This window comes from Homo sapiens, chromosome 2, assembly GCF_000001405.40.
Source record: "Homo sapiens chromosome 2, GRCh38.p14 Primary Assembly".
Lineage (NCBI taxonomy): Eukaryota > Metazoa > Chordata > Mammalia > Primates > Hominidae > Homo > Homo sapiens.
This window is the reverse complement of record NC_000002.12, coordinates 19573425-19586803: the sequence shown is the minus strand read 5'-3', so window position 1 is coordinate 19586803 and position 13379 is coordinate 19573425. Positions and strand designations below refer to the sequence as shown.

The following is a 13379-nucleotide window of genomic DNA, read 5'->3' as shown; positions in this document are numbered from 1 at the left end:
GTGTTAGTTTGCTGAGAATGATGGTTTCCGGCTTCATTCATATCCCCGCAAAGGACACGAACTCATCCTTTTTATGGCTGCATAGTATTCCATGGTGTATATGTGCCACGTTTTCTTTATCCAGTCTATCATTGATGGGCATTTGGATTGGTTCCAAGTCTTTGTTATTGTGAATAGTGCTGCAATAAACATACGTGTATGTGTGTCTTTATAGTAGAATGACTTATAATCCTTTGGGTATATACCCAGTAATGGGATTGTTGGGTCAAATGGTATTTCTGGTTCTAGATCCCTTAGGAATCCCCAAGCTGTCTTCCACAATGGTTGAACTAATTTATACTCCCACCAACGGTGTAAAAGCATTCCTGTTTTTCCACATCCTCTCCAGCATCTGTTGTTTTTGACTTTTTTTTTTTTGAGATGGAGTCTCACTCTGTCACCCAGGCTGGAGTGCAGTGGCACGATCTTGGCTCACTGCAACCTCCGCCTCCTGGATTCACGCCATTCTCCTGCTTCAGCCTCCCGAGTAGCTGGGACTACAGGTGCACCCCACCACGCCTGGCTAATTTTTTTTTTTTTTTGTATTTTTAGTAGAGACAGGGTTTCACTGTGTTAGCCAGGGTGGTCTCGATCTCCTGACCTTGTGATCCACCCGCCTTGGCTTCCCGCAGTGCTGGTATTACAGGCGTGAGCCACCATGCCCAGCCTGTTTCTGACTTTTTAATGATTACCATTCTAACTGGCGTGAGATGGTATCTCATTGTGGTTTTGATTTGCATTTTGCTAATGACCAGTGATGATGAACTTTTTTTTCCATATGTTTGTTGGCTGCATAAATGTCTCCTTTTGAAAAGTATCTGTTCATATCCTTCGCCCACTTTTTGATGGGTTTTTTTTTTGTTGCAAATTTGTTTAAGTTCCTTGTAGATTCTGGATATGAGCCCTTTGTCACATGTATAGATTGCAAAGATGTTCTCCCATTCAGTAGGTTGCCTGTTCACTCTGATGAAAATTTATTTTGTTGTGCAGAAGCTCTTTAGTTTAGTTAGATCCCATTTGTCAATTTTGGCTTTTGTTGCCATTGCTTTTGGTGTTTAGGTCATGAAGTCTTTGCCCATGCCTATATCCTGAATAGTACTGCCTAGATTTTCTTCTAAGGTTTTTATGGTTTTAGGTCATATGTTTAAGTCTTTAATCCATCTTGAGTTAATTTTTGTATAAGGTGTAAGGAAGTGGTCCAGTTTCAGTTTTCTGCATATTTATTCTCTATTTGTTAATAAATAAATTTATTAAATAGGTAATCCTTTCCCCATTGCTTGTTTTTGTCAGGTTTGTCAAAGATCAGATGGTTGTAGATGTGTGGCATTATTTCTGAGGCCTCTGTTGTGTTCCATTGGTCTTATATCTCTTTTGGTGTCAATGCCATGCTATTTTGGTTACCATAGCCTTTTAATGTAGTTTGAAGTCAGGTAGCATGATGACTTCAGCTTTGTTTTTTTTGCTTAGGATTGTCTTGGCTATATGGGTTCTTTTTTGGTTCCATATGAAATTTAAAGTAGTTTTTTCTAATTCTGTGAAGAAAGTCAATGGTAGCTTGATGGGGATAGCATTGAATCTATAAATTACTTTGGGCAGTATGGACATTTTCATGATATTGGTTCTTCCTATCTACGGGCATGGAATGTTTTTTTCCATTTGTTTGTGTCCTCTCTTATTTCCTTGAGCAGTGGTTTGTAGTTTTCCTTGAAGAGGTCTTTCACATCCCTTGTAAGTTGTATTCCTAGGTATTTTATTCTCATTGTAGCAATTGTGAATGGGAGTTCACTCATGATTTGGCTCTCTGTTTGTCTGTTATTGGTGTATAGGAATGCTTGTGATTTTTGCACATTGATTTTGTATCTTGAGACTTTGCTGAAGTTGCTTATCAGCTTAAGGAGATTTTGGGCTGAGATGATGGGGTTTTCTAAATATACAATCATGTCATCTGCAAACAGAGACAATTTGACTTCCTCTCTTCCTACTTGAATACCCTTTATTTCTTTCTCTTGCCTGATTGCCCTGACTAGAACTTCCAATACTATGTCGAATAGGAGTGGTGAGAGTCTTGTGCCAGTTTTCAAAGGGAATGCTCCCAGCTTTTGCCCATTCAGTATGATATTGGCTGTGGGTTTTCATAAATAGCTCTTCTTATTTTGAGATACATTCCATCAATACCTAGTTTATTGAGAGTTTTTAGCATGAAGGGGTGTTGAATTTTATTGAAGGCCTTTTCTGCATCTATTGAAATAATCATGTGGTTTTTGTCATTGGTTCTGTTTATGTGATGGATTGCATTTATTGATTTGCATATGTTGAACTAGCCTTGCATCCCAGGGAGGAAGCCAATTTGATCATGGTGGATAAGCTTTTTGATGTGCTGCTGGATTCAGTTTGCCAATATTTTATTGAGGATTTTCACATCAATGTTCATCAGGGATATTGGTCTGAAATTTTCTTTTTTTGTTGTGTCTCTGCCAGGTTTTGGTATCAGGATGATGCTGGCCTCATAAAATGAGTTAGGGAGGAGTCCCTCTTTTTCTATCATTTGCAATAGTTTCAGAAGGAATGGTACCAGCTCCTCTTTGTACCTCTGGTAGAATTCAGTTGTGAATCTGTCTGGTTCTGGGCTTTTGTTTAGTTGCTAGGCTATTAATTACTGGTTGAATTTCAGAACTTGTTACTGGTCTATTCAGGGCTTCAACTTTTTCCTGGTTTAGTCTTGGGAGGGTGTATGTGTCCAGGAATTTATCTATTTCTTCTAGATTTTCGAGTTTATTTGCATAGAGATGTTTATAGTATTCTCTGATAGTAGTTTGTATTTCTGTGGGATCAGTGGTGATATCCCCTTTATCATTTTTTATTGTGTCTATTTGATTCTTCTCTCTTTTCTTCTTTATTAGTCTGGCTAGCGGTCTATCTATTCTGTTAATCTTTTCCTAAAACCAGCTGCTGGATTCATTGATTTTTTGAAGGGTTTTTCATGTCTCTATCTTTCTCAGTTCTGCTTTGATCTTAGTTATTTCTTGTCTACTGCTAGCTTTTGAATTTGTTTGTTCTTGCTTCTCTAGTTCTTTTAATTGTGATGTTAGGGTGTTGATTTTAGATCTTTCTTACTTTCTCCTGTGGGCAATTGGTGCTATAAATTTCCCTCCAAACACTGCTTTAGCTGTGTCCCAGAGATCCTTGTGCATTGTGTCTTTGTTTTCATTGGTTTCAAAGAACTTACTTATTTCTGCCTTAATTTTGTTATTTACCCAGTACTCATTCAGGAGCAGGTTGTTCAGTTTCCATGTAGTTGTGCAATTTTGAGTGCATTTCTTAATCCTGAGTTCTAATTTGATTGCACTGTAGTCTGAGAGACTGTTCTGATTTCCATTCTTTTGCATTTGCTGAGGAGTGTTTTACTTCCAATTATGTGGTCAGTTTTAGAATAACTGCCATGTGGTGCTAAGAAGAATGTATATTCTGTTGATTTGGGGTGGAGAGTTCTGTAGGTGTCTATTCAGTCTGCTTGGTCCAGAGCTGAGTTCAAGTCCTGAATATGCTTGTTAAGTTTTTGTCTCATTGATCTGTCTAATATTGACAGTAGGGTGTTAAAGTCTCACACTATTATTGTGTCAGAGTCTAAGTCTCTTTGTAGGTCTCTAAGAACTTGCTTTATGAATCTGGGTGCTCCTGTATTGGGTGCATATATATTTAGGATAGTTAGCTCTTCTTGTTGCATTGATCCGTTTACCATTATGTAATGCGCCTCTTTGTCTTTTTTGGTCTTTGTTGGTTTAAAGTCTGTTTTATCAGAGACTAGGATCGCAACCCCTGCTTTGTTTTGCTTTCTATTCGTTTGGTAAATATCCCTCCATCCCTTTATTTTGAACCTATGTGTGTCTTTGCACGTGAGAAGGGTCTCCTGATTATAGCACATCTGTGGGTCTTGACTCTTTATCCAATTTGCCAGTCTGTGTGTTTTAATTGGGGCATTTAGCCCATTTATGTTTAAGGTTAATATTGTTGTGTGTGAATTTGATCCAGTCATTATGATGCTAGCTGGTTAGTCTGCCCATTAGTTGCAGTTTCTTTGTAGCGTCTATGGTCTTTAGAATTTGGTGTGTTTTTGCAGTGGCTGGTACTGGTTGTTCCTTTCCATATTTGGTGCTTCCTTCAGGAGCTCTTGTAAGGCAGGCTTGGTGGTAACAAAATCTCTCAGCATTTCCTTGTCTGTAAAGGATTTTATTTCTCCTTTGCTTATGAAGCTTAGTTTGGCTGGATATGAAATTCTGGGTTGAAAATTCTTTTCTTTAAGAATGTCGAATATTGGCCCCCACTCTCTTCTGGCTTGTAGGGTTTCTGCAGAGAGATCTGCTGTTAGTCTGATGGGCTTCCCTTTGTGGGTAACCTGGCCTTTCTCTCTGGCTGCCCTTAACATTTTTTCCTTCATTTCAACCTTGGTGAATCTGACAATTACTTTTCTTGGGGTTGCTCTTCTTGAGGAGTACCTTTGTGGTGTTCTCTGTATTTCCTGAATTTGAATGTTGGCCTTTCTTGCTAGGCTGGAGAAGTTCTCTTGGCTAATATCCTGAAGAGTGTTTTCCAGCTTGATTCCATTCTGCCTGTCACTTTCACGTACACCAATCACACATAGGTATGATCTTTTCATATAGTCCCATATTTCTTGGATGCTTTGTTTGTTCCTTTTCATTCTTTTTTCTCTAATCTTGTCTTCACACTTTATTTTGTTCAGTTGATCTTCAATCTCTGATATCCTTTCTTCTGCTTGATCAGTTTGGCTACTGATACTTGTGTATGCTTCACAAAGTTCTCGTTCTGTGCTTTTTAGCTCCATCAGATGTTCTGTCTCCATCAGTCTGTTCTTCTGTATACTGGTAAGTTAGCCATTCATCTAACCTTTTCTCAAGGTTTTTAGCTTCCTTGCGATGGGTTAGAACATGCTCCTTTAGCTTGGAGGAGTTTGTTATTACCCACCTTCTGAAGCCTACTTCTGTCAACTCGTCAAACTCATTCTCTGTCCAGTTTTGTTCTCTTGCTGGTGAGGAGTTGTGATCCTTTGTAGGAGAAGAGGCATTCTGGTTTTTGCAATTTTCAGCCTTTTTGTGCTGGTTTTTCCTCATCTTTGCAGATTTATCTACCTTTGGTCTTTGAAGTCGCTGACCTTCAGATGGGGTCTCTGAGTGGACGTCCCTTTTATTGTTGATGCTACTCCTTTCTGTTTGTTATTTTTCCTTCTAACAGTCAGGCCCCTCTTCTGCAGGTCTGCTGGAGTTTGCTGGAAGTCCACTGCAGACCCTGTTTGCCTGGGTATCACCAGCAGAGGCTGCCATGTTCTTTTTTTTTTCTTTTGAGACAGAATCTCTCTCTGTCGCCCAGGCTGGAGTGCAGTGGCGCGATCTTGGCTCACTGCAAGATCCGGCTCCCAGGTTCCCCCCATTCTCCTGCCTCAGCCTCCTGAGTAGCTGGGACTACAAGTGACCGCAACCACGCCTGGCTAACTTTTTGCATTTTTAGTAGAGACAGGGTTTCACTGTGTTAGCCAGGATGGTCTTGATCTCCTGACCTCATGATCTGCCCGCCTCAGCCTCCCAAAGTGCTGGAATTACAGGCATGAGACACCACGCCTGGCCAGCTGCCATGTTCTTGACCCTTCCTCCTCCTGCATTCCATCTGTCTGTGCTGCCATAGGGGCCCTGCATCTGCCCTGGTCCCAGACGGCAGAGTGAGACTGCTTTCTTTGAAAGCAGTAGTTTGTGTTGACTTTTCACTTTAATGACTGGCTGTGACTGGACAGTAACACGTGCACTTGTCAAAGGCTACTGCACCACATCAGCAGGTGATGACATGTTGACAAGCTTGCCAAATGCCCATTGCATTTGCTGGTCAGGGAGGGTTGGGGGGCTGAACTACAAACTCCAGGAGGGCAGGGGGCATGCTTTTCCTGATTTCTCTCTGGCTCACCTGAAGCTTGTCCCCTCACAGAGCCAGGCTTTCAATAAATAAAAAGATGACTTGATCCTGCATTTACTAATTAGATCAAAGGCAGAAACTAGACATTTTTAGTGACATAAAGATGGTGTCAATCACATTTCCTTCTTTTCTTCATTAACCTGCTTCTTGGAGAGTTCTGGTGTGCAGTCCACTGTGGGACTTCTGCATGTCCTGGGTGAGGGGGACAGTGAGGCCAGTTCTGATTAGAGGTCACATCTACAGAACAAAGGGACAGGGGACACCACTCTGCTGTGCAGTGTGGAAGAATCCGAATGGCACTGCTGCTTAGAAATCTTCCTGCCTCCTGAACATCCTACCACTAGGATCACTCCTTTAGTTAAGTTCCTGTTTCTAGGAAACTGCTACTAGTAAGCAAACATGTTATCAGGAAGGAAACACATGATCTTACCAGAAGCCTCTGACACTCTGACACTTAACTACTGGGTAATTGGTGAGACAGAAGACAGGACCCTGACTGTTGAGAAGTAAAGTGGGAAAATGGGGGTGGAAGCTGGGGAGAAAAGGTCTTGAGGCTGGAGATCCTGGGATGGTGGAGGAAGGACGAGTCCACCATTCTCTCTCTGCTATAGGGGCTGGCTTAGGTGACACCATCTCCTGGAGGACAGTGGGGCTATGTTTTGTTTACCTCTGTATTCTTCCAGCAACTGGTTCAGAGCCTGACAAGGAGCTCCATAAATTGAGTGGGCATCCTGGTTGCAGAATGAACAAACAGATAGGCTTTTGCCTTGATTCTCTCATTATAAGGAGTAAACATGAAAGAATCACCAGAAGAGATGGATCAAAAAGGAGAAAGCAAAGCAAGAGTTTACTGAGCACAAAGCCAATGTGCAGTGCTGTGTCAGGCTGGCAGAGGACATAGACATGAAGGGAGCCCCACTCCTCCCTTTGGGAGCTTCCTGGGCAGCGGAGAGACATGTTACCTCGTAAACAAAGTACACAGTTTAAAAATATGTTTTTTTTTTAACCTCACCAGTAATGTGACAAATAGATATCATATGCTTCCTGATAAAATGCACAGAGAAGGACGCATCATCACTTCTGTGGTATGCTGGCTAAAAATGCACAACCTGGACCTAATCAGAACACATCAGAGAAGCCCAAACCCAGTTGTCTTCAAAAATGTCAAGGTCATGCAATGTGTGATCCTGGATAAGATCCAGGAAAAAAAAGTTCTAAAAAAAACCAAACCCACAAAACTTTTGCTATCCAGGATGCTGGTGAGATATTTTGCAAAATGTGGCTATAATCTGTAGACTAGACAATAGTACTGTATCAAGGTTAATTTCTGATTTTAATAATTATACTGTGGTCGTGCAAGAGAATGTCCTTGTTTTAGGAAATATACAGAGATATTTAGACATTAAGGGGCATCATGTCTGCAACTCTCAAAGGATTCAGAAAAATGTAAATATGCGTGTTTGTCTAGAGAAAGAGAGAATGATAAAGTAAATGTGCTAAAGTATTAACATTTGGAGAATCTAGGAAAAATTATATAAAAATTCTTTGTATTATTTTTGTAAATTTTTTTGTAAGTATGATAAAGATATTGAAATACATGTGTATATGTATATATTCCTGCATGGATGAGAAGCAATATAGCACAGTGGTGAGGCACGCAGGCCTTGGAGCCAGACTTCCTAGGTTCAAATCCTGGCTGGACCACTTGGGAACTGTGTTACTTTTTACTTAAGCTCTCTGAGCCTGAATGATGTTGGATGATACTGGTGCATACACTGGCTGCTTGTAAAAATTAAATGAGTTAAAGCCTGTGACAAGCTTAAAAAAGTGCAAACATGTGGCAAGTATGCAATACATGCCAGCTCTTATTACACAATATAGAGCCTTTGATAATTATTAACAATCATTTAGTTATAAGACATATGGTATATACATATTTGTTGACCTACTGTGCTATCTTTTCAAATAATTTACATATTTAATTTTACAACCTTCACTTAAAGTATAATAGCAAGAAATATCTTCTCCATTATATAGATGTGTAAACTAAGGCCAAGAAAGTTTATGAAACTTACCTAAGAACCCCCATAGCTGATAATTGGCACAACTTGGAGCTGATTTCAGGTGTCCTGACAATTAATCTGAGAGGCCATTCTTCTCTGCAGGTGTGGCCAATATCACTGTTCTCATTTGCCATCTTTTAAACTCTGAGTGAGAAATGTCCTGGGAGAAAGTGGCTTCAAGGGGCCTTCCATCACGCATGTTGTTATCTGCTTATCCATTGTCAAAAGCTGCAGTTATGGCGAGGGAGGGCGAAGGGAGCATGGATTCTCCCAGTGATTACTGACTGGTTCCTTGAATCAGATCCAGAAAGAATTGGTTAGTCCCTGATTCTGAGGATGAAAAGCATCCCTGGCAGGGAAACTCTAAGGCTGCCTTCTGAGGAGCCTTAGAATACAACATCAGGGCATCTTTATAGAAATGTTATATGCTCTATGTCACAGTACATGATTGTACAAATTATAGTAAACACGTAGGCATTCTGGAAACTGTGGATTCTGTTTGGAAGGAGGCTTAAAGTCCCCTTAGACTTAAATAACCATCTTTCAAAACAACAACAACAAAAGCAGAAAGCAACAAGAGTTTTCTGAGAAACAGCTTTCATCTGGACTTCAGAAGGCCAAGAAACTGGATTCCTGCCTCCCTGGGTCTCATGATCTTCAGTGGGGCCTCGACCAGACAGATGTTATTACTATAAACCAATCTCTGGCAACCTCAGATGGAAAGGGAAGCACCTCTCAATTTGTCAGGGGTAATAACTTCCCTGCATTTACTTACTGCTTTATAATTTGCACAGCTTTCTATTAGACATTTCCATTGATTCGCTCAACAAGTATGTTTGCTGGGTGGGGGAGAGGCTGTGATTCCTCTTGAATAGATGACAAAACCACGGGCTAGTAGAGGCTAAACAAATAATTCATGAGCCAGTATTAGAAGGTGGGATCCCTGAGTCTGGAACCAATGCTACTTACTGACATGGTCTCTTTAGTCCTTACTTTCCTATTTTGGAGGTTATTTTATTTTATTTTGACATTGCTACTTATGCATTATCCATATGTTTATTTACCAGTATTTATTCATTCCAGCCTGCATCATCCTGCCATCCTTTCAGGCATTTTTGGGTTATCTCATCAGTTTTAAGTCTGGAAGCGCTCAGAGGATGTGGAAAACCTCAACTAGTTGCTTAAAAAGAAGGAAAATTGTGAGAATAAATCTGCTGCCAATATGATCACAAAATGCATGATAAACCAACAGAAATGGTTCTGAAGGTTAACTCTTAGTTTAAGTTTTCTGGAGTAAAGTCATCTCCATCTGCATGACTAATTGAGAGCTGGAAATGTTTTCGTTTGTTCAATCATGGTGAGCATCAACTATGGTCCAGATGCTAAGTTCTTCCTTCTTTCCTCATCTAGGTGAGAGGCTGCATGTTTTTAAGCCCAGCAGTCTTAGTTATGGAGGTTATAGACTTGAATTCTAGCCCTTTTGTCACCAAGACCTTTTAACATCTGTGTTGCAGTGGGACCAATCTAATACTTGCACCTCCTACCTTACTGTGACAAGAAAATAAAATGTTGTCAAAAGCCTTTTGCAGATTTCAGAGTGTTCCTCAAATGTAAGATGGTATTTCAGTAATGATAATGCCAAAGATAATGAAAATTGCTTGTGGGAATTGCTACTTCTCTCATGCTTCCTAAGTTTTGCATAGATGAGAAGAATACGTGCAATGAATAGAATAGTAAATGTCATTTATATAACTATGTGAAGGAATGAATTGAACAGAACTGTAAATTACCTTTTCATAGTATTTCTATTGAATCAAAAAGTTTACTAGCATAAACATTTCCTTAGCAGGTACTAAAATTAAAGGCCTTTATATAGAAAGCCTTTCACTTCTATCCATCCTTTAAAACTTGGCTCAGCTGTCACCTTCTCCAGGGAGCCTTCTGGGACTCACTCCTCCTTCTTAAGCTGGCTGGATAAAATGGCCTTTCTCTGCTGCTATAATATGTGGGCTTATTTCTACTTCTTGTCTGATGTTGTAATTACCTGCGTGTGTGCTCTCTCACCCTCTAGATTGTCTTATTCATCATTGCATCCTGAATGTCCAGTGCAATTCCTGGCGTGTTATTTTTGCCTTAGGAAATGTTTCCTGAATGCATGGCCAAACATTTACCAGTTCAAACAAGGCTTGGCTTGTAAACACAATGGAGAATGAGGTCAAGGAAATGTGGTTCACTTTTGCCATAAAGTGCTTACATATTGCACTCTCTACCACGGTGCTTCATGATTTTTTCAACCTCTTATGTGATTATCCCCCCAAAAAACCCCATGGGCTAGAAAAAGCTATAATGACTTTAGTAGTTTGAATGGTTTAATATTTTCTTAAATCAAGTGTGGCTTATTTTCATCGTAAGAAAAAAAGACAGGAAGAATCAGAAGATGTAAGGCAGGAAGAATCAGAAGATGGTCCCTTCCCCCAGAAAGTTTTCAAAAATCCTGCCTGGCCTTTGGGAGTTCCCATGAGAGTATGGAACATAAGGAATCACTATGATATAGGCATATTTGAACATTTTTAAAAAGATTAAACATGATATAGTACTGGAACTGAGCATGGGAGATTGAAGTCCTGGATTTTATGCTTTCCCTTGCTACAGGGGATGGAAAGAATATTGTTTCTCCTTAAAATGATTTATTTAAATGGGTAGGTTAGAATTCTACTTAAAACCTAGTGTCTGAATGCACCTGTTTAAGTCAGCTTCTTGTTCTCCCAGGTATTTAGGCATTGAATTTTCCCCATTAGGAGAGTGATTGACACTGTGGCCCTTACAATAACACATGATTATAACTCTGCAAATGGCAATTACATTCAATGGAAACCAGATGTTGCATGGAATTTGACTCTCTTGGTTTCTTGGTGAAGTAGATGAATTTGTAAAGTAGAAAACCACAATCATTACTCAGATGGACTGTACATGAATTAATGACATAATATCTAAATCATATATGGCTGAAAATAATGATTAACTTAAACTATCAAGATAAGCTAATGAAAAACAGACTCTTAAAAAATTAAAGATGTGTTTTCTTCAATACATATTTTATCCATGTACTAATAACAAAACCAGACTTATTTTTATGTCTCTTCAGTCTCAAGGAAGAAAAAAATATTTAAAAAGAAGCTCTTTTCGGCAGTTAACATTAGGGAGAAAGTGAACAACTATGATAGTTTTTCTTGGCTCGTGAATTTTTGGAGCGTCTGAAATCAATCTTTTAAAATTATATTGTTGTTAAGGACAGCCAGCAGTGTTTTATGCTGAATGACACAGAGACAGTATATTTTTAAGGACACATTTGGCATGCAAAATATCAGCTTGATATGCCTGCATAATGCATAACCTCTCAAATACAAGTTCTTTTCCTCTCCCCATGTCTCTCCAGAGCCTGTGCGCAAATGTGTGTGCACACACATGCATACACACACACACACACACAGACACTATGACTGCTCAGGTCAGGAAGGCAAATCAGTGTTCCACACAAATCCACACTGTCCCTTGAAAAGCTCAGCCTTTAGTTAGCAACCTCCTGAGTGGTTAAGTTTGCAAACCTTGGCCCATCATTTCCACTGTCATGAATTCTCAATGACATCATCACTGTAAAATTAGGAACTCTCTTTCTTTTCCTGCAGATGTGAAACTTTGACATTGCATTCCATGGGCCCGTGCCACATTTCATCAGCGTTTTTCCTTTGCTTTCTCCAAAGCCTGTGGCCGCATGTGGCGCATAGATTGCCAGTGCTATTTGGGATCTCATATCAAATGCTGCTACCTAATCCCAGGCGGCCTTCCACAGCCCACACCTGCAGCTCATTGAATCCTCCTGGAGTACAAAGGGCTGATTTACAGCATGAAGGATCCAGGCACTGGTTGCAGCTGGGGCTCCAGCAGGAAAAGGAAGTTGTTCATCATCTTGTGTGCATTTCATTAACAATAGTGTACCCGATATGTGGCTTATAGAATAATTTCAAATCACTGACAGAGAGCATTATGGCATTTGGCACTACTAGGAAAAATACTTCAGGATGGGCAAATTAAACCTGAGCGTGAGGTTTCTATGCGACCCTCTGGAACGGTGTGCGCTGATTTACACGAGGTGGGTTGACCTTGTGATATTTTCTGATTCCTTGGGCATTTTCCCATTTCTCATTTCTTTCCTTTTGTCTTTGAAGCAGCCCTGGGGTAGAATCAGAATATCCTTAGCTTTCTGTTCTTTTCATGTATTAACAACCAAGAGCTCAGAGTAACCTGTGCTAAGCATGCTGTTTAGAAACTAACCACTTGAGGAAATGGCTGTGTAGCTGGTGAGATGGGAGCTCCACAGCTGAATGTGACAAAGAGTGTGTCCCTTTCTCCTTTGAGTTTTCATGGCTGTACCTGTGAGTGAGTCCCAGTCAGACACCGAGATCCCAGGGCTGGCTCACCAGCACTCTGGGAAATTAAAAAATGGGAAAGACTCATACTTCATTCTATTGCCATGCCTGGATTTGCAACTATTTCATTATTGAGTTGCTTTTATGCAAGAAAATCCCTCATGGAAATGTCATGAGGGTGATGATGATGAATGAAGATGAAGGAGGAGACAAGGAAGTGAGTGACAGGCCTGAGAGAGACTGTCTCATGGTTTCCAGGGCCCTTAGGCAGCCTCTGGGTCCCTCTCCTCTGTGGTCACAGTGTGAGCCGCCAGATGGGGCATACCACCTATTTACAAAGAAGGCTCCAATTGCTCAGCCTTCCCAGATTCTTCCTAGGGGGACACTGTGGGTCCCAAATGAAGAATCTTTGAGGGCAGTGGAAAGCCTTAGCTTACCTCCAAACAAAAATGCTCCTGGAGCTATGGCTGTCTCTGGGTTTGGGTCCAAACCCTACATAGGAAGAATGGGCAGCAAAGTGCAGAATTAAAAGGGAAATAGCTCTGATGAGTTTATCATGGCCATTTTAACTTCAACTGTTTTCTAAAGGACAAAATCAATAAAAATCACCATTCTCAAGGGAGAGGGAGCAGGGGAGGAAAAACAAATTTCTTTTCACTTTGTAATGATAAACAAACTCAGCTAGGAGCAGTATCTGATGTGGCGGTGCGGAGTCTGGTCTCCAGTTTCTATTGATGTGTCAAATGTATCCCTTATGTGAATCATGGTTTAAAAATACTTCTACTCAGTGGGTTTGGGAAATCAATAAGCTTTTATGATTCTTTCCTTGCTTCACATAATTTCTAATTTCAAAAGAAACTCTGGATATTCCTTT

The 13379-nt window shown here is 40.3% G+C and overlaps 1 annotated feature.

The window, feature by feature from the left end:
• Positions 10347-12450: an enhancer, noted in NCBI's record as "VISTA enhancer hs1273". NCBI's record gives its function as "enhancer in: somite[6/8] | limb[7/8] | branchial arch[7/8] | nose[7/8]" and the evidence as "EXISTENCE:transgenic organism evidence [ECO:0001131][PMID:17130149]".